Source organism: Homo sapiens, chromosome 4 (genome assembly GCF_000001405.40).
Source record: "Homo sapiens chromosome 4, GRCh38.p14 Primary Assembly".
Taxonomy (NCBI): Eukaryota; Metazoa; Chordata; class Mammalia; order Primates; family Hominidae; genus Homo; species Homo sapiens.
This window is the reverse complement of record NC_000004.12, coordinates 148,297,665-148,324,855: the sequence shown is the minus strand read 5'-3', so window position 1 is coordinate 148,324,855 and position 27,191 is coordinate 148,297,665. Positions and strand designations below refer to the sequence as shown.

The following is a 27,191-nucleotide window of genomic DNA, read 5'->3' as shown; positions in this document are numbered from 1 at the left end:
TTAAGGCAGGCAGGATGATTCTTCCCCCCATTCCCAGCTTTTCTGAGATATAATGGATAAAAATTGTACATATTTAAGATATGAAATATGTTTTGATATGACATGAGTACCACAATAAGGCTAATTATTATATCCATCACCTCATGTGGTAATCAGTTTGGGGTTTTTTTGGTGGTGAAAACACTTAAGATTTACTCTCAGCAAATTTCAAGTATATAATACAGTATTATTAACTGTAGTCCCCATGCTGTATATTAGGTTCCTGGAACTTATTTATCTTATAACTGAAAGTTTGTACTCTTTGATCAACAACTCCCCATTTTCCTCTCCCTGCAGTCTTGCCAACCACTCTTCTACTCTCTGCCTCTCTGAGTTTGCAGCATTATTCACAGTAGCCAAGATATGGAAACAACCTAAGTGTTGGTCAGTGGATGAATGGATGAAGAAAATGTGCAATACAGACACATACACACAGGAACACACACACAAACACACACACACACACACACACACACACACACACAGAGGAATATTATTCAGTCTTAAAAAAGAAAAAAGTCCTGCCATTTGCGACAACATGGATGAATCTGGAGGATGTTACATAAAATGAAATAAGCCAGACACAGAAAGACAAATACCGTGCGACCTTATTTATATATGGAATCTAAAGACGTAGTATGGCTCTTTATCCAGTTAAGGATGTATAGTCTTTCTCAGGTTGATGCTGTTTTCTCTGGTTAATCATGGAGCATATAGGAAGATAATGTGATGGTGGTAGATGATGGTCTCACCAGCTGCTTGTCATTTGCACCAGGATTTAGATTTGTTCTTGGTGGAAACACCTAGAGGGCAGAGGTGAGAAATTTGTGAAATGGAGACAGATACAAACATTTTAGATTATATAAGGCTTAGAAAAGCTTGGGATTGAAGACTCTTTAAAAATGAGATAGAGGGGAGGAGCCAAGATGGCCAAATGGGAACAGCTCCGGTCCACAGCTCCCAGCGTGAGCGACGCAGAAGACGGTGATTTCTGCATTTCCATCTGAGGTACCGGGTTCATCGCACTAGGGAGTGCCAGACAGTGGGCACAGGTCAGTGGGTGCGCGCACCGTGTGCGAGCCGAAGCAGGGCGAGGCATTGCCTCACTTGGGAAGCACAAGGGGTCAGGGAGTTCCCTTTCCGAGTCAAAGAAAGGGGTGACTGACGGCTTCTGGAAAATCGGGTCACTCCCACCCGAATACTGCGCTTTTCCGACGGGCTGAAAAAACGGCGCACCACGAGATTATGTCCCGCACCTGGCTCGGAGGGTCCTACACTCACGGAGTCTCGCTGATTGCTAGCACAGCAGTCTGAGATCAAACTGCAAGGCTGCAGCCAGGCTGGGGGAGGGGCGCCCGCCATTGCACAGGCTTGATTAGGTAAACAAAGCAGCCAGGAAGCTCGAACTGGGTGGAGCCCACCACAGCTCAAGGAGGCCTGCCTGCTTCTGTAGGCTCCACCTCTGGGGGCAGGGCACAGACAAACAAAAAGACAGCAGTAACCTCTGCAGACTTAAATGTCCCTGTCTGACAGCTTTGAAGAGAGCAGTGGTTCTCCCAGCACGCAGCTGGAGATCTGAGAACGGGCAGACTGCCACCTCAAGTGGGTCCCTGACCCCTGACCCCCGAGCAGCCTAACTGGGAGGCACCCCCCAGCAGAGGCACACTGACACCTCACAGGGCAGGGTATTCCAACAGACCTGCAGCTGAGGGTCCTGTCTGTTAGAAGGAAAACTAACAAACAGAAAGGACATCCACACCAAAAACCCATCTGTACATCACCATCATCAAAGACCAAAAGTAGATAAAACCACAAAGTTGGGGAAAAAACAGAACAGAAAAACTGGAAACTCTAAACAGCAGAGCGCCTCTCCTCCTCCAAAGGAACGCAGTTCCTCACCAGCAACGGAACAAAGCTGGATGGAGAATGACTTTGACGAGCTCAGAGAAGAAGGCTTCAGACGATCAAATTACTCTGAGCTACGGGAGGACATTCAAACCAAAGGCAAAGAAGTTGAAAACTTTGAAAAAAATTTAGAGGAATGTATAACTAGAATAACCAATACAGAGAAGTGCTTAAAGGAGCTGATGGAGCTGAAAACCAAGGCTCGAGAACTACGTGAAGAATGCAGAAGCCTCAGGAGCTGATGCGATCAACTGGAAGAAAGGGTATCAGCAATGGAAGATGAAATGAATGAAATGAAGCGAGAAGGGAAGTTTAGAGAAAAAAGAATAAAAAGAAATGAGCAAAGCCTCCAAGAAATATGGGACTATGTGAAAAGACCAAATCTACGTCTGATTGGTGTACCTGAAAGTGATGGGGAGAATGGAACCAAGTTGGAAAGCACTCTGCAGGATATTATCCAGGAGAACTTCCCCAATCTAGCAAGGCAGGCCAACGTTCAGATTCAGGAAATACAGAGAACGCCACAAAGATACTCCTCGAGAAGAGCAACTCCAAGACACATGATTGTCAGATTCACCAAAGTTGAAATGAAGGAAAAAATGTTAAGGGCAGCCAGAGAGAAAGGTCAGGTTACCCTCAAAGGGAAGCCCATCAGACTAACAGCGGATCTCTCAGCAGAAACCCTACAAGCCAGAAGAGAGTGGGGGCCAATATTCAACATTCTTAAAGAAAAGAATTTTCAACCCAGAATTTCATATCCAGCCAAACTAAGCTTCATAAGTGAAGGAGAAATAAAATACTTTACAGACAAGCAAATGCTGAGAGATTTTGTCACCACCAGGCCTGCCTTAAAAGAGCTCCTGAAGGAAGCACTAAACATGGAAAGGAACAACCAGTACCAGCCGCTGCAAAATCATGCCAAAATGTAAAGACCATCAAGACTAGGAAGAAACTGCATCAAATAATGAGCAAAATAACCAGCTAACATCATAATGACAGGATCAAATTCACACATAACAATATTAACTTTAAATGTAAATGGACTAAATGCTCCAATTAAAAGACACAGACTGGCAAATTGCATAAAGAGTCAAGACCCAACAGTGTGCTGTATTCAGGAAACCCATCTCATGTGCAGAGACACACATAGGCTCAAAATAAAAGGATGGAGGAAGATCTACCAAGAAAATGGAAAACAAAAAAAGGCAGGGGTTGCAATCCTAGTCTCTGATAAAACAGACTTTAAACCAACAAAGATCAAAAGAGACAAAGAAGGCCATTACATAATGGTAAAAGGATCAATTCAACAAGAAGAGCTAACTATCCTAAATATATATGCACCCAATACAGGAGCACCAAGATTCATGAAGCAAGTCCTGAGTGACCTACAAAGAGACTTAGACTCCCACACATTAATAATGGGAGATTTTAACACCCCACTGTCAACATTAGACGGATCAAAGAGACAGAAAGTCAACAAGGATACCCAGGAATTGAACTCAGCTCTGCACCAAGCGGACCTAATAGACATCTACAGAACTCTCCACCCCAAAGCAACAGAATATACATTTTTTTCAGCACCACACCACACCTATTCCAAAATTGACCACATAGTTGGAAGTAAAGCTCTCCTCAGCAAATGTAAAAGAACAGAAATTATAACAAACTGTCTCTCAGACCACAGTGCAATCAAACTAGAACTCAGGATTAAGAATCTCACTCAAAACCGCTCAACTACATGGAAACTGAACAACCTGCTCCTGAATGACTACTGGGTACATAACGAAATGAAGGCAGAAATGAAGATGTTCTTTGAAACCAATGAGAACAAAGACACAACATACCAGAATCTCTGGGACGCATTCAAAGCAGTGTGTAGAGGGAGATTTATAGCACTAAATGCCCACAAGAGAAAGCAGGAAAGATCCAAAATTGACACCCTAACATCACAATTAAAAGAACTAGAAAAGCAAGAGCAAACACATTCAAAAGCTAGCAGAAGGCAAGAAATAACTAAAATCAGAGCAGAACTGAAGGAAATAGAGACACAAAAAACCTTTCAAAAAATTAATGAATCCAGGAGCTGGTTTTTTGAAAGGATCAACAAGATTGATAGACCGCTAGCAAGACTAATAAAGAAAAAAAGAGAGAAGAATCAAATAGACGCAATAAAAAAATGATAAAGGGGATATCACCACCAATCTCACAGAAATACAAACTACCATCAGAGAATACTACAAACACCTCTATGCAAATAAACTAGAAAATCTAGAAGAAATGGATAACTTCTTCGACACATACACTCTCCCAAGACTAAACTAGGAAGAAGTTGAATCTCTGAATAGACCAATAACAGGATCTGAAATTGTGGCAATAATCAATAGCTTACCAACCAAAAAGAGTCCAGGACCAGATGGATTCACAGCCGAATTCTACCAGAGGTACAAGGAGGAACTGGTACCATTCCTTCTGAAACTATTCCAATCAATAGAAAAAGAGGGAATCCTCCCTAACTCATTTTATGAGGCCAGCATCATTCTGATTCCAAAGCCAGGCAGAGACACAACCAAAAAAGAGAATTTTAGACCAATATCCTTGATGAACATTGATGCAAAAATACTCAATAAAATACTGGCAAAACGAATCCAGCAGCACATCAAAAACTTATCCACCATGATCAAGTGGGCTTCATCCCTGGGATGCAAGGCTGGTTCAATATACGCAAATCAATAAATGTAATCCAGCATATGAACAGAGCCAAAGACAAAAACCACATGATTATCTCAATAGATGCAGAAAAAGCCTTTGACAAAATTCAACAACCATTCATGCTAAAAACTCTCAATAAATTAGGTAATGATGGGACGTATTTCAAAATAATAGGAGCTATCTATGAAAACCCACAGCCAATATCATACTGAATGGGCAAAAACTGGAAGCATTCCCTTTGAAAACTGGCACAAGACAGGGATGCCCTCTCTCACCACTCCTATTCAACATAGTGTTGGAAGTTCTGGCCAGGGCAATTAGGCAGGAGAAGGAAATAAAGGGTATTCAATTAGGAAAAGAGGAAGTCAAATTGTCCCTGTTTGCAGACGACATGATTGTATATCTAGAAAAACCCATTGTCTCAACCCAAAATCTCCTTAAGCTGATAAGCAACTTCAGCAAAGTCTCAGGATACAAAATCAATGTACAAAAATCACAAGCATTCTTATACACCAACAACAGACAAACAGAGATCCAAATCATGAGTGAACTCCCATTCACAATTGCTTCAAAGAGAATAAAATACCTAGGAATCCAACTTACAAGGGACGTGAAGGACCTCTTCAAGGAGAACTACAAACCACTGCTCAAGGAAATAAAAGAGGATACAAACAAATGGAAGAACATTCCATGCTCATGGGTAGGAAGAATCAATATCGTGAAAATGGCCATACTGCCCAAGGTAATTTATAGATTCAATGCCATCCCCATCAAGCTACCAATGCCTTTCTTCACAGAATTGGAAAAAACTACTTGAAAGTTCATATGGAACCAGAAAAGAGCCCACATCGCCAAGTCAATCCTAAGCCAAAAGAACAAAGCTGGAGGAATCACACTACCTGACTTCGAACTATACTACAAGGCTACAGTAACCAAAACAGCATGGTACTAGTACCAAAACAGAGATATAGGTCAATGGAACAGAACAGAGCCCTCAGAAATAATGCCACATATCTACAACTATCTGATCTTTGACAAACCTGAGAAAAACGAGCAATGGGGAAAGGACTCCCTATTTAATAAATGGTGCTGGGAAAACTGGCTAGCCATATGTAGAAAGCTGAAACTGGATCCCTTCCTTACACCTTATACAAAAATCAATTCAAGATTGATTAAAGACTTAAACGTTAGACCTAAAACCATAAAAACCCTAGAAGAAAACCTAGGCATTACCATTCAGGACATAGGCATGGGCAAGGACTTCATGTCTAAAACACCAAAAGCAATGGCAACAAAAGCCAAAATTGACAAATGGGATCTAATTAAACTAAAGAGCTTCTGCACAGCAAAAGAAACTACCATCAGAGTGATCAGGCAACCTACAAAATGGGAGAAAATTTTCACAACCTACTCATCTGACAAAGGACTAATATCCAGAATCTACAATGAACTCAAACAAATTTACAAGAAAAAAACAAACAACCCCATCAAAAAGTGGGCGAAGGACATGAACAGACACTTTTCATAAGAAGACATTTATACAGCCAAAAAACACATGAAAAAATGCTCATCATCACTGGCCGTTAGAGAAATGCAAATCAAAACCACAATGAGATATCATCTCACACCAGTTAGAATGGCCATCATTAAAAAGTCAGGAAACAACAGGTGCTGGAGAGGATGTGGAGAAATAGGAACACTTTTACACTGTTGGTGGGACTGTAAACTAGTTCAACCATTGTGGAAGTCAGTGTGGCGATTCCTCAGGGATCTAGAACTGGAAATACCATTTGACCCAGCCATCCCATTACTGGGTATATACCCAAAGGACTATAAATCATGCTGCTATAAAGACACATGGACACATATGTTTATTGCGGCATTATTCACAATAGCAAAGACTTGGAACGAACCCAAATGTCCAACAATGATAGACTGGATTAAGAAAATGTGGCACATATACACCATGGAATACTATGCAGCCATAAAAAATGATGAGTTCATGTCCTTTGTAGGGACATGGATGAAATTGGAAATCATCATTCTGAGTAAACTATGGCAAGAACAAAAAACCAAACACCGCATATTCTCACTCATAGGTGGGAATTGAACAGTAAGATCACATGGACACAGGAAGGGGAATATCACACTCTGGGGACTGTTGTGGGGTGGGGGGAGGGGGGAGGGATAGCATTGGGAGATATACCTAATGCTAGATGACGAGTTAGTGGGTGCAGCGCACCAGCATGGCACATGTATACATATGTAACTAACCTGCAGAATGTGCACATGTACCCTAAAACTTAAAGTATAATAAAAAAAAAGAAAAAGAAAACAGCTTAACTAGAACACATATTCAAAATTTAAGGTTATTTATATAATCACTAAAAAAAAAAATGAGATAGACTTAATTTCATTCTTTTTAAAAAAAAGCTTTTTCTGCAGATCTATTAGGTTTTCATTTTTGACCATAATATTTTTCTTTCATTTCTACATATATTTAAAATAATGCCTACATGATTTAGGATGTATTTTCAAGGAAAATTAAAACTGAACATCATCTTCTTTGAGATCTTTTGGCTTATTCCAGCATTTATCATACAAATTCTCATACTCCCTCTCTGTATCTTCTTTATAACCATAACCAGTTGTATTTTTTTAATGTAGCTTCTGACCTTTTTATAAGTTGTTCAAAATAGGTACAAAGCAACTGGGTTTTGTTATATTTAGTTGGGATATTGCGGATATGAAGAAAACAAAATGGCATTGTCTTAATTTTTATAGCTAAAAAATTTTAAGGTAGTCTTTTTTCTTTTTTCTTTTTTTTCTTTTTTTCTTTTTTTTTTTGAGACAGAGTTTTGCTCTTGTTGCCCAGGCTCAAGTGCAATGGTGCGATCTCAGCTCACCACAACCTCCACCTCCCGGGTTAAAGTGATTCTCCTGCCACAGCCTCACAAGTAGCTGGGATTACAGGCATGTGCCATGTCTTTTTTCTACTCTAACTTTTATGAGAATCTTTCTAATGCATGGGTTGAACTTCTAGTGTCTTAAGTGAATACATTTATAAGTTTTAATGAAACTGTGATTTTCCATTAAAAATACTGATGGTGGCCTGGGCACAGTGGCTCAAGCCTGTAATCCCAGCACTTTGGGTGGCTGAAGCAGGTGGATCGCTTGAGCCCAGGAGTTTGAGACCAGCCTGGGCAACATAGCGAAACCCCGTCTCTACAAAAATTAGCTGGAAATGGTGGTGTGCGCCTGTCATCCCAGCTACTCAGGAGGCCTAGGCAGGAGGATCAGTTGAGCCTAGGAGGTCTAGGCTGCAGTGAGCCATGATCACACCACTACATCCCATCCTGGGCAACAGAGCGAGAGCCTGTCTCAGAAAACAAACAAAAAACAACAACAACAACAAAAAAGAAAAAACAACTAATGGAGGGCATTTAATTTTTAAGTGGAATGTTCAAAACCAAAATGTATGCTCTCTAAAATAATGAGAAGTATAAATATATAGTATAAAATTGGAGTCAGATCTATAAATAGAATAAAAACCTATATAACTGAGCATAATTTTGGCTAATTATAAAAATTTCCTCCTTAAAAGAAATTGCAAAGAGAGCATTTCAGATATACCTATTCTTATTTCTCAAAATGTTCACAGATAACTTATTGATTCTTATTTCTCAAAATTCTGTAACAGTTGGTGTTTGTACGTAATTAATGCCTTATAGAAAGTTGTATTCAGCAAATCAAAGCTACCTTTACCTGGGTTGTGGCTTCTCGGAAAGTAAATAATCTAAATTTCTCCTTAAATAATACACAGGGAATAAATATAATACATGTTCCGCATAAATATATAAATATACTTTATTATACATAACTATACAGTGCATATAAAATGAAAGCATAAACAAACCAAAATTATTCAGTTATACCACAGATGACCACTATATTATATGTATTTCCTTACAATCCTGTGTGTGTATGTGTGTGTACTAACACATTGCATATAAGTGAGACCATGTTTCATATTACAATTATTTTCTGCTATTTTGCTTAGCATATCGTAAGCATTTTCGATATGAAAAAAATTGTATTAATTGAAAATCTTAAATCCTATGTCATGTTTTACAACATGTTTTTCTACTTTTAACCATTCTAGTTGGCATTATTGGTTTTCCCTCATATAACTTCTATAATGTGCAAATATGCATATTATAGAAGTCTGGTCTGAATTCTGAATCTTTAAGGTGAATTCCAAAAACGGAGATTGTAAGAAAGATTTTTGGAAGTATATATCACAAAACTGTTTTCATTACTGCAATACAATTTACATTACTGTCAGCATTGTAGAAATTGTATTTTACCATATTCTCATGAATTTTAGGAATTTGTGATAACATTTTGCAACTTGAAGGTTTATTGTAGTGATTGATTCATATAAGGCCCCTAAAGGAAATTTCCAAAATTCTTTGGCTAAAGAGTTTATTCTAATTTTTCAAACAGAATACGTAAGTCTTTAGGGTATGTAATGCCAGCTAAGCCAAACAGCGTTTTATTCTGTTGTTCATAAATACTTCTGTTTCTTTAGAATGTTTGTCAGAAGAAGTGTTTTGGATAATTAAGTCTAAAAAAACTAATTTGCAGAGTTACATGAATGCAAAACATTCTCATAGGCTACATCAAGAAAAATATTCAGAGGGTGTAAAATCTTGCATCCTGAGAGCATCGTTGTGAAGAAACATTGGTTTTGGTTAGACAGAGAGTGAGGGGTTCAGAGTTTCTCAGAGAGGTTTATTTTTATCTTCTTCAAGTTTCATTTAGGAGTTAGGAATACTGAGACAACTTAACATAGTACCTTGGAGTTGATGCCACAGATCATTTTGCATGACAGGTGTGTACAGGCACAGTGACAGCTTCCAACCACCAAGAGTGGCTGTGGTTTGCCATGGAATGAATGTCTACATAACTAAGAGCTGAGTATGCTCAACCATGGGAAGACCCTACTGGACTTTGTGAGTAACTGGCGGATCAAAGTGGCTGAACAGTGAGCCGTCAGTGTAGGAGGAGATGGAGTGCTGGCCCAAACTATTCTGGTCCCATGACATACTGCAAAAGCTGTTTTTAAAAAATGAACTATTATAACATCTTTGATACTGTCAAAACACTGGTTATTTGAGACTTCTATTTGCCTGAATTATAAATAAGAGTGTTTGACTTTAAAAATACATGTCATTTATTGTATAATGTTCGTAGAACATGTTTTCGGTGGTAGGATTTTGCATCATGTTCATGATATAAAACTATAAACATATTTATCATGTTAAAGTTCATTGTGTAATTATTGGATGTGTGTTTTCTTAGTTATGAGGATATTATGATTATTTTGATATCAGAAATAGATGTAGAATTTGCAGCTGTGATAAATGAGGTGTAATGGAAGTCTTTCAATTTCAATTTTCCTTTTAAAATCTTCTGGATTATTGGGAAGTCAGATATTTACATTTCACTTCAGAACCAATGTAGACATTAGATACTTCAAGTGAAGTTATCCTTTCTAGGAAATTACAAAACTGTTTGCAAGTGATTATTAATAACATCAGGATCATATTTAAAATATGGACACGCATGCAGTTTTATTCAAGTACTGTATTAAAGGCTTCACTTACTCAATTTTCATTACTGTATATATTGTAAAATATAAATGTAAGATATAATTTTACTTAAAATAGGCCATTTAATGGTAAAAACACCTGTAAAACTATGCATAGCAAATGCACAGCACCTTTCCGATGACTGATAATAAAGCTCTCAAATGCAAAGAGTTCTAATATTTTAAGCATAGTTATATATCTAAAAAAATAATAATGTTTTTCACAGAACCAGAAAATGGCCAAGTTTAATACTGTACTAAAAATAGCATAACTTGCATCAGCAACTGTGGATTTCTGGTGAGGTAAGGAAAGGTGGGTGCTTTCTCTCCCTCTTGTCATACTTGCTCATCTCTTTCATTTCTACCTCAAAGTATGCGATCATATAGCTTTTGAAGATCTTTCCCCCCAATATAGTCCTTTTGTGGTTTCTTTTAACTGAGTCCAATCTTACTTGCCCTCCATAGAGTTTGTGATTCCTTAGTCACATGTGGAATTGTAGTGCCATGTACTGTTCTAATGATAAAATACACCTCCTCTTTCGAATCGAAGTTAGAGTATTTACAGCTTCTATAAATGAGACCCTTCCATCACTTACCTTCCCCCTTGAAAAGATGTAATGCATAGGTTATATTAACCATTATAATAAAACTCACAAGTTTATGCTAGCAAGAAAAGCTTGCTGTGGGATTTAGGGATCTTAGTTTTATAATACTGTTGAACTTAGCAAGAGAATTGCCTGGGGGTGTGTTCACCATCTTTGCAAGACAGAAGACATACAGCAGGAAGAAAGCCAGGCTGTAGTAAGTAAGGTTAAAGCAAACTTCTAAGCAAATAAAGTTTATAAAATGATATCTGAAAAACCTTTGAGAATTCAGCAGTTAATGGAGTGGTAGAGAATTCAGAGTCAAAAGCTGGGACCCATTTTCCCACCTTACTAATTGTGTTCTTGAGTATATCACTGAAGTTCAGTTTTCTTTAATTTTTAAAGCACGACCGATAATATCTACCTCATAGGATTGTCCTCAGATTTAAAAAGATTTTAGCATTTTGCAAAACTTACAATAATATTTTATTAGTAGTTTTTAGCTTACAAAACATTAAAGGAGATTTTTCAATTGATAAAAGGTCTCTTATGGAACATACCAAAGCATATTATAGTCCTCTACTATGTAAATTTTCTCACAAATATTACACATTGGATGGTTCAAAAATATTTTTATGCATAAAACTTGTACTGAGTGCAATGGACTCATTTACAATTTGAAGTTTTTCGGGACTCAGTATGTTTAAAGTGGTTGTGTTTTTTGTGTGTGTTTTAATAGATTGGAATAAGTCTGCATAATCCTCACAGGAGGAACGCTGTTGGACTGTAGCCCAAGGACTTTCTAAATACTCAGATGTTTCCTTTCTCTGGTAAATTATCCATCATGTTCTATCTCATTTAGGTATGGCTTATTCTCTGCAGTTGGTAATAAGAAAGTCCTGGGTCATTTAAACAAGTAATTAAAAGGACTGTTTTACTATTTCTTGCCTTTGAAGAGTGTTAATTTTATTTGTTGTGAGTTAATGATGCATTTATTGTCTATGCTTACAGCTTCTAGTAGTTCAAAGGTGAATCATTCTCAAAGTAAAAAGCGTTTTTCTTTGGTAATATTTAATTGGGCTACTGCTCTTTAACTAAAGACATATGCTTTTCCCATAAAAAAAAGCCTTTTTATAAATGAAATGCAAAACTAAACATAACTCTGAAGCAAGAATGTATCAACTTAGAAAGTCTGATTATTTGCTTGGAAAAATGCCAATATAGCTAAGTTGAATTATTTTATGAGACATTTATTTGAATTAATGTGACATTATTTAACAGGGAGAGTATCATATACAACTGTATATAACTTGTCAAATGAGATATAGTTTTGTACTTTCTTCTCAGTATACTTTTGCAGGTGGCTTTCACGGAAATTCATTCTTTCATTCCTTTAGTATTTTAGTACCTACTATGTGCCAGATACTGTACTAGAAGCTAGGATATATCCATAGCAGAGTCAGACAGACAATCAGTGCTATTTCGATAATGGTAAATGCTTAACAACTGGCTGGCTGCAGGGAAAGAAAGGCCCTGATTTTTAGCATTTGCTGATTTTGATAGTGTAAATATTCCCACCACAACTGATTTTAAGCTACCAATGTGGTTGAACTGAATGCAAAGATATATATATAGCATTTCTACCATACTCATAAATGTAAATAACCTAAAAAACATAAATTTAAATGTAGTAAAATAATTGGGAAATGATGAGTTTTGAGTATTTGTTACCTTTGTCTTTTATATAATTGTCACTTTACAGACTACACTTGCTAATAATAGCTGTAGTTTAATGACTAGCTCGCAGAATTCCTGAAAAGTTAAGAATTGGCTTCCACGAGCCAGTATAAGCTGCCTCCAGTACACCACTACACAATAAACAAAGTAAAATGTGATATGTTAAATGGTGATAAATATTGCCACCAAATACAGCATAAATCAGAAGCATCACTGTGTGTGCATGCATGCCCATGCATGAGTACTGCTTTAGAGAGTACTGCGGGATCAGTAGAGGCCTCACTGAGAAGTTTGAGCAACCTTGTGAAGATTGTAAAGGAGATAGTTGTACAACTTCTGGGGGAAGAACATTCCAGGCAGAGTGAATAGCAGATGCAAATGTCCTAAGCAGGAGTATCTTGGCACATTCCAGAATCATCAAGGAGGCCAGCATGGCTGGTGCAGACTAAACAAGAGTGCAGTGTAATTGGCAGTGAGGTGATTAATAGGGCCTTTTCATGTAGGCCTCTGTAGGCCACTATTAGGACTTAAGTTGTCACTGGGGCAGTTGGAAACTTTTGAGCAAATGAATGGCATCTGACTCATATGTCTCAAGATTACTCTGGCTGCTATGTGATTCTAGGGGACAGGGGCCAAGGTATGGAATCCTGTTAGGACACTATTGGCAGTAATTCACTTGGTGATTGCTGGAGCATTGTGGTAGTGATTGAGGTGGTGAGAAGTGACCAATTCTGGATGTATTTTGATGGTAGTTGATTGGATCTGCTGATGTGAAGTGTGAGAGAGAAAAAGATGGCTCCGGGGCTTGTGTTTGAGCAGCTGCAAGAATGCAGTTGTCATTAACCCAGATGGGGAAGATTGCTGCAGGTTTGGAGGTGAGAAGTATGTTTTCTCAGCTATGTTGAGGTGCCTATTAGACATTTACGTGGATATGATGAGTAGACAGTTGGATTTCAGAATTTGGGGAGAAGTTTGGTTTGGAGTTATTAATTTGAGAGTCATAAGAATAGAGCTGAATGAGGTTACCCAGAGAATGGAGAAACGAAAATATCCAAGAGAAATTCAACCCACTGGGAAGATAAGGAGGAGTTGGCAAAAGAGATTGAAAAGTACAGCCCAGGTGTTAGAAGGGAAACAAAAGCACATAGTGTCTGGAAAGCAAACAAAGAACATATTTCAAGAAGAGTGAGATGAAATGTGTCTGATGCTGCAGGTTATAAGGTCAGATAAGGCGAGAACTGAGAGTCATCCATTGGATTTAGACTGTGAAGGTCTCTGGTGACCGTGCTAAGCAGTTTTGCTGTGGCTGACCATGTGCAGGGAGTGGGATCATGAGAGTGTGGGAGGAGAGAAACTGGAGACAGGGAGCACAGAGAATTCTGTCCGTGGTTTTGATGCAAAGAACAGAAATTGCTGGTAGCTGGCAGGGGAAATGGGATCAAAGTGTTCTTTTAAAAAAATTATTTTAAAGATGTCATGGCATGCTCATATGCTGATAGAAATTAACCCGAATAATTAAAAGGAGCAAATTTAAGGGGAGCATCATTGATGAGCAGGCATGAGAATGTGGGGAGCTGATTTACCAGGCGAAGAGTCGACATTAGTTAGAAGCATCTTTGGATCATCTGTAGAAACCCAAGGGAACAGAATACACAGGCCCAGCAGGTACAGGTGAGCAATTATGCTGGCTGGTAGAGACTTATGAAAGATCTTATAATCGCCTTTGTTTTCTCAGTTAAAGGAGATGATATACATAGTTCTGTAGGTCCATGTGACAGCAAATAGACTAGGGAAATGTACTGTGATGCCTGGGAGATTTCTAGGCAGTACTAAAGGTTCACTTGCATTTGTTGATCTTAAAATGAGACCCATAATCTTGGTTGAGTTTTATCTAGCCATTTTCAGCTGTATAGATGCAGGTGTGGAGTACATGGAGCCTTGGGTATAAGCACAGGTGGGATTTTGCTGGGAAAGTATGATGAAATGAGCACCAGGTAGCTGGAGGAATTGAGGATATATGCAAGTGGAGCGATTAAAATACACTGGAATGAAGTAATCTAAATTCTAGCATAAGTCTATGTAAGTAGTTTAGGAGGAAGTATCTTAAAAGTTTTCTGTTAATTTTCATTGTAAAAATAATTCTAGTTATTATGATGAAATAATTATATCGTATTCATTCACAGACCTTAGTAAGTAGGATAGTTTTTTTTAAGCCCTGTGATTTTTTTCTCATTATTTCCTCCACCCCCGCCCTTGGAGAGCCTTCATTTTTTTGTTTGCTCATTTATTATTTATTCACCATCGTTTATTAAGTGCTTATGATGTATCAGATATTATCATCTAATTGTTCACTTAACACATTCTATGAAATTTATAGTTACTATGATGAGATAAATAAGGAGTCAAATAATTTAAGTTTACGTACTACATGGCTACTTATAGTCATGGGAACTTGGACAATCCCCATAATCTTTCAAGGTCTGTAAAATGAGAGAGATAATATGAAGATTTCTGAAGTCTAATTCTGTTCATAAAAACACTGCATCTTTTAACCATGTGCATGTGTGTCTCTTCTTACTAGATTGTGGGTTTTTTAAGGGCAAAATTGTGTTTTGTTGATAACTATAGAAAGAGAGAATATGAAGATTCTGAAGTCTAATTCTATTCATAAAAACACTGCATCTTTTATCCATGTGCATGTGTGTCTCTTCTTACTAGATTGTGGGTTTTTTAGGGGCAAAATTGTGTTTTGTTCATGACTGTATATAGAGAATATGAAGATTTCTGAAGTCTAATTCTATTCATAAAAACACTGCATCTTTTATCCATGTGCATGTGTGTCTCTTCTTACTAGATGGTGGGTTATTTAAGGGCAAAATTGTGTTTTGTTCATAATTATAGAGTACATAGTCAATGTTTATTAAATAACTTTAGTTTTAAATATAGTTTTAACAGGTTGAAATCACATTTGTTTTCTATTTCATGTATTGTTTTTCCAGCACACAGTAGTTCTAAATGGTGGTGTCCATCTCTTATTCTTTCTTCTTTTTCTTTAAAAAATTTTTTAAATTGACACATAATAATCATACCTGTTCAGAGGGTACACAGTGATGTTTTGATACGTATAATGTATAGTGATCAAATCAGGTAATTATATCCATCATCTCAAACTTTTTTTTTTGTATTGAAAACATTCAATATCCTCCTTTCAGCTATTTGAAACTATATAATATATACATATTTTTTAAGACAGAGTCTCACTCTGTTGCCCAGGCTGGAGTGCAGTGGCATGATCACAGCTCACTGCAACCTCCACCTTTCAGGCTCAAGTGATCCTCCCACCTCAGCCTCCCAAGTAGCTGGGACCACAGGCATGTGCCACCATGCCTAATTTTTTGTATTTTTGGTAGAGATGGGGTTTTACCGTGTTGCTCAGGCTGGTCTCGAACTCCTGAGCTCGAGCAAGCCGCCCATCTTGGCCTCCCAAAGTGCTGGGATTACAGGCCACTAAGCCTGGCCTGGAAACATGTTGTTGTTAACTATAGCCATCCCACAGTGCTATAGAACACTAGAATTTACTCCTTCCTTTTAGCTGTGATTTCTTATCCTTTAACAAATCTCTCCCCAATTGCCCCCTTCCCCATACCCTTCCCAGCCTCTAGTATCCTCTGTTCTACTTTTTGCTTCTATGAGAGATCAACTTTTTTTTTGGCTTCCACATATGAGTAATGCAGTGTTTAACTTTCTGTTCCCTTGTCATAAGTTGGTACTCATCATGTAGTTTTTTTAGAGTAAATACATCAACTTTATATGCTGGTGGATTTCAAGTAGAAACAGACTAAGATCTTTGGGATTCATATATGCAACAAATTTTCCTACCATATTGCTAGAATTCAAAATGTTTGAAGGTTTATTCTTTAGAAATTTTCCTCCATAATACGTAATGGCACAGATCTTAATACGGACGCTGCTGTTGTGTTTGTATGGGTTTATATTTGTCGCTTTCTAGAAAAAAAAGGACTGGCTGCTCACCTCCACAGATCCGTAGATGTTACCCTCAAGCCTGAGAGACACCCAGACTTGGAACTTCACATGTCCTTGGGTTCTGGTAAAGAACCCAAACAATGTGAAGTTTCTTAAATGTTTGGTAGTAAAGATAAAAAGAGAGGCATTGTATCTCACAAACCTCATAAGCAAAACTTAGAAATCCACAGTTAGAGTTGCCTTCTCCACCATCTCTGCTCAGTCCTGTTGCTTTGTGTTTTCCTCTGATCCTGCACCTGGGGGTCTCATCTTCTCTAGTTCCTCTCTGTCTCAGTATTAACTTTTTTTCTTTTAGAGTATCTTCAAGTGCCCTTTTTTTGTTTTGTTTTGTTTTTTTTAATGATGCAGAGCTTAGCTTTATACTGGCTCTTTTTGCCATATGTAAGCTTATCTAAAACATTTTCCTTCATTCAGTAGGACCCACCATCCTTAAAAGACCTACTTGTTTTCATCCTTTGTGACTTTACCCTTCCCTTTGGGGAAGAAGCTTGTTCTGTTTCCCGACTACCCCCAAGGTAGTGCTGGCACCATCTCTAGATGATTATGTATTGTTAAACAAATATAAATATGAAATTGTGAATGAAGATCACATGGGCATGTTTGGCTTTGTGTATAAAGGCATTCACAAAATACAAGTTCTCATGATTTAGATATAAAAGATATTTAAGTAGTTGCTCTGTGTCATGCATACATCTCACATTCTCTGAGCCTCTTCTTTTGTCAGATGGAGCCTACAAATCTCGTTTGATCTTCATATGAGTCTATGAGTTAATACTTTGAACATAACTTATGATTCTGTTGAAAATCCTAAAATATAATAGAATAACTGATTTCCTTAGCTCACCATTTCATTTTCACCTTCTAGTACACAACACATTTTAACTGCTATAGTAAGTTAGATCTGAAATCGTCAAAAATGACTGATCCCAGAGAGAATTCAACAGAGAAAATTATCTTAAGTGGAAAAATTCTTTGAATGATAGTTGTCATTTCTCTTTGCCAAGTTTTTTTTTTGCATTTTTAACCTAATAATGTAATATAATAGCTAACTCTCTTAGTGTTTGATTATAACATGGTTTCTTATCAGTGAGGCTGAAATAGAAAAAAAAAAGTAAATTTAAAAACACTAAAGTGTCACAAAAATATTCACGTTCGAGAGAAAGCCTTTCCTCTTATACTATGCTAAGATATTAAGATGTAAATTAAGGAAATAGTTTTAAGTGTTATTTATAAAGCTGTCACATTTAATCCATTAATTCTATTAAAAGAGACACATAGTTGTAAACAATATTATCTTTTAACTATGAGTTTATCCACTATAAAATTCCTTTTATCATTTCATTTGCCCCATAAGATATATGTGCTATAATCTATTTTTAATGTTTTACAGCATATTTATAGGGTGAAATTATGCATTTAACTCTATGAATGTGTTTGGAAACCATCTGTTAGAACTTACAGGAAAATAGAAGCTTCCTTCATTAATATGTTTTTTCCTATTTTGGGGACTTAAACATTTAGTATTATCCTTCCTAGTCCATACTGAGAGATTAAAAACATTATTGAAGAATGAGTTCTATTGTGTTCCCACAGGGGGATTCAAACTTTACTGCTTTGTAGTCTGGCATACTCCAGAATTGTTGTGTTATAAAAATAAACATTTCTGATTTACTAAGGGAGGAAATAAATTTGTCCAGTTGGTGGTAGTTTAGTATTTTAAACTTCGGGATATGTTGGAAGAATATACTGGATAGACTTACCCTCCGACATAGGAGTGATAAATTGATTCACCTGAAAATTCACTCAATTGGAGAAGGTGAAAGAGGGGTAGATTTAAAAATGAACACAACAGTGTCTCTGATTTCAAGGAAGCTAATAGAGCTGTAAAATATGCATAATAATTTGTAGCTGAGTGATATGATGAGTTTCAAAAAAGGGGTACATCTAAGACCCTGTTTTACCTCTTGCTTCCTTAGGCAGTTAGTTGATTTATTTCCATTTCTTTTTTGAAAATGGAGATAAGATTGCCTAGAACAGCACCTGCTAAGCTGCAGAGAGAGAATTCAGTTTGTGAAAACATGTCTTAAACTGTAAAGTACTATGCAAACAAATATAAGGCAGTGGTATGGCACATATTGTTGGCCAGATGGCTATCATGGAATAGTCTGTTTCAAAATAGAACCAACTTTTGTCCTCCCCATGAGTCTGTCCTCAGAATCCTTTCCATGGCCTTCTAGCTCTGGCGAGTCTCTTTTCTGAGAACTCTGGGAGCAGCTGCTTATTTGACACGTACAGTAAATGCAGCTGGAACAGCCAGGAAACATATTGAATTAATAACTTCTATGAGTTTTTATAAAACATGCTTATTCCTGAGAGAACGTCCACCTGTTTTAATAGTAGCAGTGTTTCTTCACTTCTGTGTTGTCAATTCAAACCAAGTTAACGCCTGCAAGTCCCAACTTTTCCTAGCTCTAAGTCATAATCTTTAATGCATGCACAATATACTGCTTTGCTCAGAGAGGAATTTTTATGTGCACAACTGCAGAAGAAATTTATCCTGAAGTTCTCTCAAAGCGTAGCCTTTTCTTAATTTTTAGGTTTTCAGAGGAGTTTCACAAGTCGTGATTTTTTTTTTTTTTTTTTTAAGAAAGAATGGGATCCTTGCAAAATGATCCGGTGGACTCTATTAGTTCTGCAACACAGTGCTGTGCCCTTTGCCTCATCTGTATACAGACCTGGAAAGTGGGATCACAGCAGATGAGACCCAGAGTCCCCTCTAAAATACTCTACGTCTCTTGGGAAAAGTGGCACCCTCAGTTTCTGAAAGGCTGACTGTTGCTGCTTTTTTCACTGTCTTTAAAAGAAGACTGTGTTTTATTCTGAGGAGAATGGAGTAGAAAAAATTTATTTCTTCCTGGACCCAAAAGATACTTGATCTAGAACAAAAATTGAGAAAACCTGAAGCAAGATTCAGAATTTATTAGATGAAAAATGAACGATTTCCTACTTTTCATTATATTTGTACCAGGATTTTTTGTTATTCCAGTAAAACCAAAAAGCTTTACATTTGTTTTCTATTATTTTGCAAATGATTAAGTTTTTATTTTATCATTTCATTTACCACTTAAGAACTTCAAGCGATGATGATGGATTTTTTTTTTTAACTCGTTAGTTCAGCTAAAACCTGGGTTCTTGTGTCATGACCAGGAAAAATTAGGCATGTGGACACATTGAAAGGTGAGGAGAGCAGAATTTATTAAAAGAAATCTCTCAGGAAAAAAAAAAAAAAGGGTCCTGCCAACAGGCTCCCACCTCACAAACTGAATACCAGGCCACCACACAGGAGCTGAAGAGGCCAGACTCCTCCCCACTGCATAGTGCAAGAATTCCCAGTGGCTCCACCGCATTCTCCCAGTGCTCAGGCAGGCCCCCAGTCAGCTGCAGGCACACCCAGACAAGGCCCTGAGCAGGTTCCCTTATCTTCCTCCTGCATCTATCATTCCCCCCTCTAAAGTAGTACATCTAACTGCCATTAGAATAAGGATAAGGAAGAGGATGAAGACCAATCTTAACTGCTTCCTGCTGACAGAAGGTGCTGTTTTGGGAAAATGGCAGTCAGTTCTCCCTGAAAGGCCTATCTAAGGGTCCCCAGCAGAAGGGGCCATTGTCTGAGGCTCTGATTCCATGACGCTTTGGAGTTTAATGTCCTGAAGGTGAGAAGAGACAAACTGAGTTATTAGAAAACACATATCAAAATGAAACAAGCTGGGGTAAATCCCGAGGCCTTTTACCAGTTTGTACAGGGAGAGGGAAGCCAAAAGCCCAACTGGTTAAAAAAAAAAAAAAAAAAAAAAAAGCAACAACAACTTTTACCCTTTTGCCAGCATGTCAGGCTTCTGGGTTCCCTTCTCCTGAACTCAATCCTTAGCCAACCAGTTTAAGGTTTGAGAAATTAACTTTTCCCAGTTTGGAGGATGCATCCGAGGGGAGTGTCCCACAGTATGGCAACACAATTATATGTGAAGAGAGGACAGAGGCGGAAAAAGGAAACTCAGGAGTTCAGGATGCATTGGAAAGGGGTACAGACTGAAAATGAATGACTACTCATCTAGAAAGAGGGGAACAGGCATCCCTGGTTCTTTTCTCTTCCCCTTGAATACCCGGGCTACATGAGAGAGAGAAAGTGAGACATTCCTCTTTCTTCTGTCCTCGCATCCCTGAGTCCTGGTGACCATGACGGGCTGCTGCCCATGGGGGTCAACGCGCCTTTAACCCATGTTAACAGGGGGATCTAGGGAGTGGAAATATCCGCTCATACCCATGTATGCCCTGTCTTCCCTGGTGTCAGGAGCCTTCGAGTTCCCTAGACCTCATTTATGCCATGGATACTAGCGTGACCTTTATCCATGAAATGGAAAGCTTGGCTTAATTGGCAGGAATTTGTCATGATCACTTGCGCTGTGCCTTTTAACTTCCATTATCGTCTGCCTCTGGATCCCTCAGATCCAGTTTTCTTTCCAAGGACTTCAACGTGAAGCTTGGAATGGAGTTTGGGACCAAAAATGCATCTCGGGGGGTTGTATGGACTCCTTATCATAAGCTGAATACTAAGGTGAAGCTGTGGAATTGAGTCCCTCCAACAAAGGAGAGAAAAAGATGTCTTGTGACACGCCCAGATAACTGGTGGCTGTAGTTATGCTTGGTAAGATTTGTGTGCATGGGGCTTGGCTTTGGTTAGCCCTCTTGGTCTTACTTTCCCAAAAAGGAAACCTCTGGATGATAGGCACCCTATTTATTCCCATCACCTGGCAGGATTTTCAGGATAATTGCTCAGAACTAGAATGTTGATCCAGATATATACATTACCCATCCCTCTTGTTCCTTCTCAGCTGCAACTGGAGATTGTTGGTTGGTTCACAGGAATAAGCAGGGTTAGTCTAAAATGTAGGCAAAAACTTAAAAACAACTAATGAGTCTAGAATTTAATGTCAAATGTGAAAGTTTTGAAATGTAATTTCTCTCCAGTCCTCATCTTTGTTAAAAAAAAATTATGATAGCACTGAGTTGTTTGCAAAATAGACTTTAGTCTTATACTTGGCCTGATTATTTGCATAAAGTGCACCAAGAATAATTATTTCTACTTAGGCCTTTTAGACTGGCTTTGATGGAACTCTGTTTCACAGGGAATCTCAGATAGGACTTTCTAAAGTTGAGCCCAGCCATGGGTTTCTACCCTCAAATACCTGTGAATTGGGTAAACTTCTCTCTTCTTGAGGTCTCAAGAGCATGTGGTTCCTGGGCCTGCTGGAAAGTAACTTTTTTTTTTTTTTTTTTTTTTGAGACGGAGTTTCGCTCTTGTAGCCCAGGCTGGAGTGCAATGGTGTGATCTCTGCTCACTACAACCTCTGCCTCCCAGGTTCAAGCAGTTCTCCTGACTCAGTCTCCCAAGTAGCTAGGAGAGTGTCATTCTTTACTCACCACAGGTTAGGACCCTATGGGGACTGTGTAGACAAGGTATGAGGCCGGTTTTACCAAGGGGATTTTTATCAGCTTTTCAAGTTGAGCTTGATTCCTTAAAGGGAAGCATACCCTTTCAGTCAAAGCCTTAGTAAAACAACTGGTTTCTCCAGTTGTGTCCTATTGCAAAAGAAAATGGATTCTTATTTCACTTAAGCAAACAACTATGTTGCCATAAGTTAAGAATACTCACAACTAGTTTCTAAATTCTGGAGAAGCCAGGCAGAGAGAGACAAACATGCTCCACATTTTGTTCACAGGATGTTTACTCAATTATTAAAGGCCATTAATAGCTCCAAATAAGTTTTCTTGACTCTGAAAGACAAAACAAGGATCAGCAATGTTCCAAGCAAAAGTAAAAAAGATTACTTAGGTTTTCTGTTGTTCAGTCCATTTGGTTAACTCTTGTTTTGCTTGATATTCATGAACATTTTAGCTCTCCATGAGTCCTGTATATTTTTTCTTTATTCCAATGTCACAGTCTCCCAAGTTATCAGAAACATGCATTTGAGAGTGCCTGTCAAAGTTCCATAGCGTTTGTAAACCATCATTTGAAGATCAAAACAAGACAACAATTATCTGTGAATAACAAAATGTCTATGGTAGTTACAATCAGAAATTGACAAAGAAATCTGGTTATCTCTGTGGTTTACAATAACTTAACATAACAATCTTAATTGTGATTGATAGCATATACTCAGACATTAGAATTTTAGAAATACCATACAATTTTGGAACATATATTACTATTCTTGAAAATATAACCTGAAGAAGATTAAACATCATTTTGCCAATCCCATGTACCTAAACATGTGAGGTAACCCTGTTTACTTTTCTTCATGGTGCTCCGGGGTCCTCCGTAGCATCCAAGAGCTAAGAAAGACAACTTTGAAACTGAAATTGGATTTTGGGAAGCCTGTTAAATATGTTACAAGTGTAAAACCCTTGATGTTATGAAATAGAATTCCAGATTACCATAAGTTATTTATTTTGCCAAAATGATGACTCAGAAATTTTAAAAAGCAAAACACCTTTTATAACACTTTAACAATTTTGCTAAAGAGCAGATTAGTGCCTTAAGAGAAACTTGTTGTGCTTTTATTTCAATGCTCAATTTATCGAAAAGCCATATAATACCCTTTTGAATTTAGTCAGTATGTTCACACATGGAATTTCTTTTGCAAGATTAACGTTTACAATCCTTCCATAACTTGTTTAAACTTTGAGCTTTATCTTAACTATTTCAAAACAATCCTTTAACTCTAGGCAAAAATTTACATTTTGATGGGATATGCATTTTACCCATAATCTTAAGGTTGTTTTTACTTCTCAAAGATTAAAGACCCATGGGCCAGAAGGTACCACAGCTTTTATCTTCCCTTTAAGAAATATTTGATCCAAGCACTTATCCTTCTTTAAGTCAGTTAATTAGAGCTCTTTTTTTTAATAGACATTACACACTCAATACATATATAACTACACAGACAGGCAGAAGATCCAGTAGCTATAAGATTTTTTGTTTGCCATCTCCTAATTGGATTATTGGCCTCTGGGTGGAGCCCTTTAAGAGCAAGGGTAGGAAAGCATGTAGTTTCTAGGGCCTAATAAACAGGTATAGCTGACAAAGACAGACTTTGACAGGGATCCATCTGCCTGTAATTTCTGGGGCTCCATGAGGAAAACAGGTCTCTCCCAAAATGGAAACTGTGGTACCTTTTCTGTTCTTCCAAAGCAGTCCCAGGCCATCAGAAATTATCTTAGGGCCTCTCATTCGTGCATTAAGAGTGACAAGGCAAGGTCGGGCGCGGTGGCTCATGCCTGTAATCCCAACACTTTGGGAGGCCAAGGTGGGTGGATTACCTGAGGTCAGGAGTTCGAGCCCAGCCTGACCAACATAGTGAAACCCCATCTCTACTAAAAATACAAAAGTAGCTGGGCATGGTGGCACATGCCTGTAATCCCGGCTACTTGGGAGGCTGAGGCAGGAGAATTGCTGGAACCCAGGAGGTGGAGGAGATTGCGTCATTGCACTCCAGCCTAGGTAATGAGCAAAACTCTGTCAAAAAAAAAAAAAAAAAATGAGTAGCAAGGCAAAATGGAGAAAAATAATTCAGTTGACTGAGAAAAAACCTTTCTCCAAAAAAAGAAAATCCAAAAAGAGAAAAACATAAAGGCCTTTTAAATATACCTATAACTTGGATATCCACTTTTAATTAAGCTGAGCAGTCTTTAAGAAAATCCTTTTAAATCCCTTTCTACCTGACTTTAGCTGTGCCAAGCAGCCAGTATTCCTGGTTTTTGAACCTTACCAAAGGTAACCTTTCAGGTGCTCAGAGAGAGGAAAATTCAGGGCTGTTTGTGGAGGGGAAGAGAATCAACAAATGGCAAAGATCACATAGAATGTCAAACGAGAAAGGACTCATTTTCTAAGCCAGGACTGAACCTGGGCCACCATCGCAAAATGGTGGAGGCCAAACAAAGCATTGCCATGTGGTTACAGGTCATACTTCCAAGGACGTAAAACAAGATGGAGGCCTGCAGCAAAGTTTGCCACTAACCAGTTTGCTGGGCCAGCTTCAACAGTGGGCCTGTAGAGTCCTGGGCCCGCATCCCATCCTAAATTACCCCTCTTTCTGACAGAACCATACAGTAAAACATGGAAAGCACACCATATTGGCTACAGCTTAAGGCCAACTCATCAATCCCTTTCGATAATCAAAACTTTAGAGAGAATATAAACAGTGATAGCTGGGGTCCTGGTCTAGTAACACGGCTTCTAAAAGGGAAAAAAGGACCTTTCTTTTAAAAGTTAACTCCTGACCCAGTGGAGAAAAGAAAAAAACAAACAGCTGTAAGTGCAAGGCTGTGTTAACTGCTGACAGGGTGGAGAAAAAAATAAAAAAATAAAAATCAGCCGGAACTGCAGGTTTGGAAAGATGCCATGGGGAAGAACCTCTTATTCTTATGCATGTAGGTTTCTCCAACAGGGAGATGAACTTCTAATTGCCGTTTCTTCCCTGGGGCTTGGATGGAGCTCTACTCCTTGGCCCGGGGAGGGGAAGACTCTGTGGACTTGTATTGGAGAATGCTGGCCAGCCTGCCACACAGGCCTTTGGGCCATGTGCCCCAGCTCCAGCCAGGAGGTGAGGGGTCCGGGAGCCGCTGCTTGCCCATCCATCCCACGCATGTCTGTGGCTGTTGGGTGAGGTGGTGCCATTACAGTCCCGAAAAGAGAAGGACAATGCCATAGAAAAGTCCGGGTTGGACCAAGGCCGACATTTCTAACCCCCCAGAGCGACAGGGTTGGGGATGCAGTTTCCTCTACCCTCAGAAGAAGTCCAAGGACAAAAAGCCTCAGAAAAAAAAGGGGAAAAGATTTTTTGTTCTGCATTTTACTTACCTTTCCTCATGTCCCCGTACAGGCCACGAAAACGATGCAGGCTTTTTTGCTCCTTAGTTCAGCTAAAATCTAGGTTCTTGTGTCACAACCAAGAAAAATTAGACACATGGACACATTGAAAGGTGAGGAGACCAGAATTTATTAAAAGAAAGATCTCAGCAAAAAATAAAAATAAAAAACGGGGAGGTTCTGCCAATAGGCTCCCACCTCACGTATTGAATACTGGGCCACCATGCATGAGCTGAAGAGGCCAGACTCTTCCCCCTTGCATAAGGTGCGAATTCCTGGTGGCTCCACCCCATTCTCCCACTGCACAGGTGGGCCCCCTGGTCTGTTGCAGGCACACCCAGACAAGGCCTTGGGCAGGTTCCCTTATCTTCCTCCTGCATCTATCAATGGTAAATTAAATAGAAAAGTAGGTACAGGTTGCTTATTCATCAAGTATATGTTTTAAATATGAAAGCCTTATACAAGACATAGCATATTTGAAATAGCATTTGTAATTTCTCTGAAGCAGGGTAACTAGAATTTGTGTGCTTTGTTGAACTCTGATCAGCCCAAGTGCTAATTAACAGTGGATGATAAGAGACTAATAAGGAGTAGTAGTTCTGCAGAAAGCACTCTTTTGTGATTACTCAGCTGTCTGTTCTAAGATATCCACATAAATCATTTGATCATTTTGTCATATTTCAGTTCCTTAATTTGCCATTATTGATTTTTAATTTAGCTGTGACTTCACTGGTAAAGAGGAAAGTAAATTAGCAATTTGTTCTTATTTTATGCCACTTCTTTATTTTGGTTAAAACCCAAAACCTATCAATTCTAAAAATAGTGATCAAGGCGCAACACATTTCCATCACCCCAGTTGTTCCCCTCCCCTGCCTTCTTCCGGCAGCCATCACTGTTCAGGGTTTTGTTTTGCTTGGGTTAATCATAGGTTAGTTTTTCACTTTCTAGAATTTCATGTAAATTGAATCATGTAGTATGTTTTTCTTCCACATAATGTTTTTGAGATGTATTTATGTCATCTATAAAGTCATTCTTATTGCTGCATAATATTCCATTGAATATACTACAGTTTATATGTCTTTTATTGTCTATAGGCTGCTTCTTTGAATGCTACCACAAGTCTTTCTGAAAATGTAATAAAATGTTTTCATTTTATTGGGTAAATATCTAAGAGGGGAATTGTTGGACCATGAGGCAGATATGTGTTTAGTCTTAGAAGAAGAAACTGCTGGACATTTTTCTAAAGTAGTGACAACACTTTACACTCCTTCCAACAGTGCCTGAGAGTTCCTTTTACTTAACATTCTCACCAGCATTTTGTGTTGTCCATCTTAGTAGATGTATACTACGTGATTTTTTTTTTTTTTTTGAGACGGAGTTTCACTTTTGTCGCCCAGGCTGGAGTGCAATGGCGCAATCTCAGCTCACTGCAACCTCCGCCTCCCAGGTTCAAGCAATTCTCCTGCCTCAGCCTCCTGAGTAGCTGGTATTACAGACATGCAAAATGAAGGTTTTTCTTCAGAATAAGCTATGTTGTCAGATCTTTTTTTGGAAGCCAATATTTAAGATATACTGATATAATAAGAAAAGAAAA

At 38.3% G+C, this 27,191-nt stretch overlaps 1 protein-coding gene across 10 annotated transcripts in view, besides 1 other annotated feature; it reads left to right on the top strand.

Moving 5' to 3' along the window:
- The window catches only part of NR3C2 (nuclear receptor subfamily 3 group C member 2), a 366,559-nt gene that overhangs the window by 120,467 nt on the left and 218,901 nt on the right, over positions 1-27,191 (top strand). The window lies entirely within an intron of this gene.
- Positions 612-1,173: an enhancer, noted in NCBI's record as "H3K27ac-H3K4me1 hESC enhancer chr4:149244835-149245396 (GRCh37/hg19 assembly coordinates)". NCBI's record gives its function as "activates a minimal SCP1, AML or CMV promoter by ChIP-STARR-seq in primed H9 embryonic stem cells {active_cell/tissue: H9 hESC(primed)}" and the evidence as "EXISTENCE:reporter gene assay evidence [ECO:0000049][PMID:30033119]".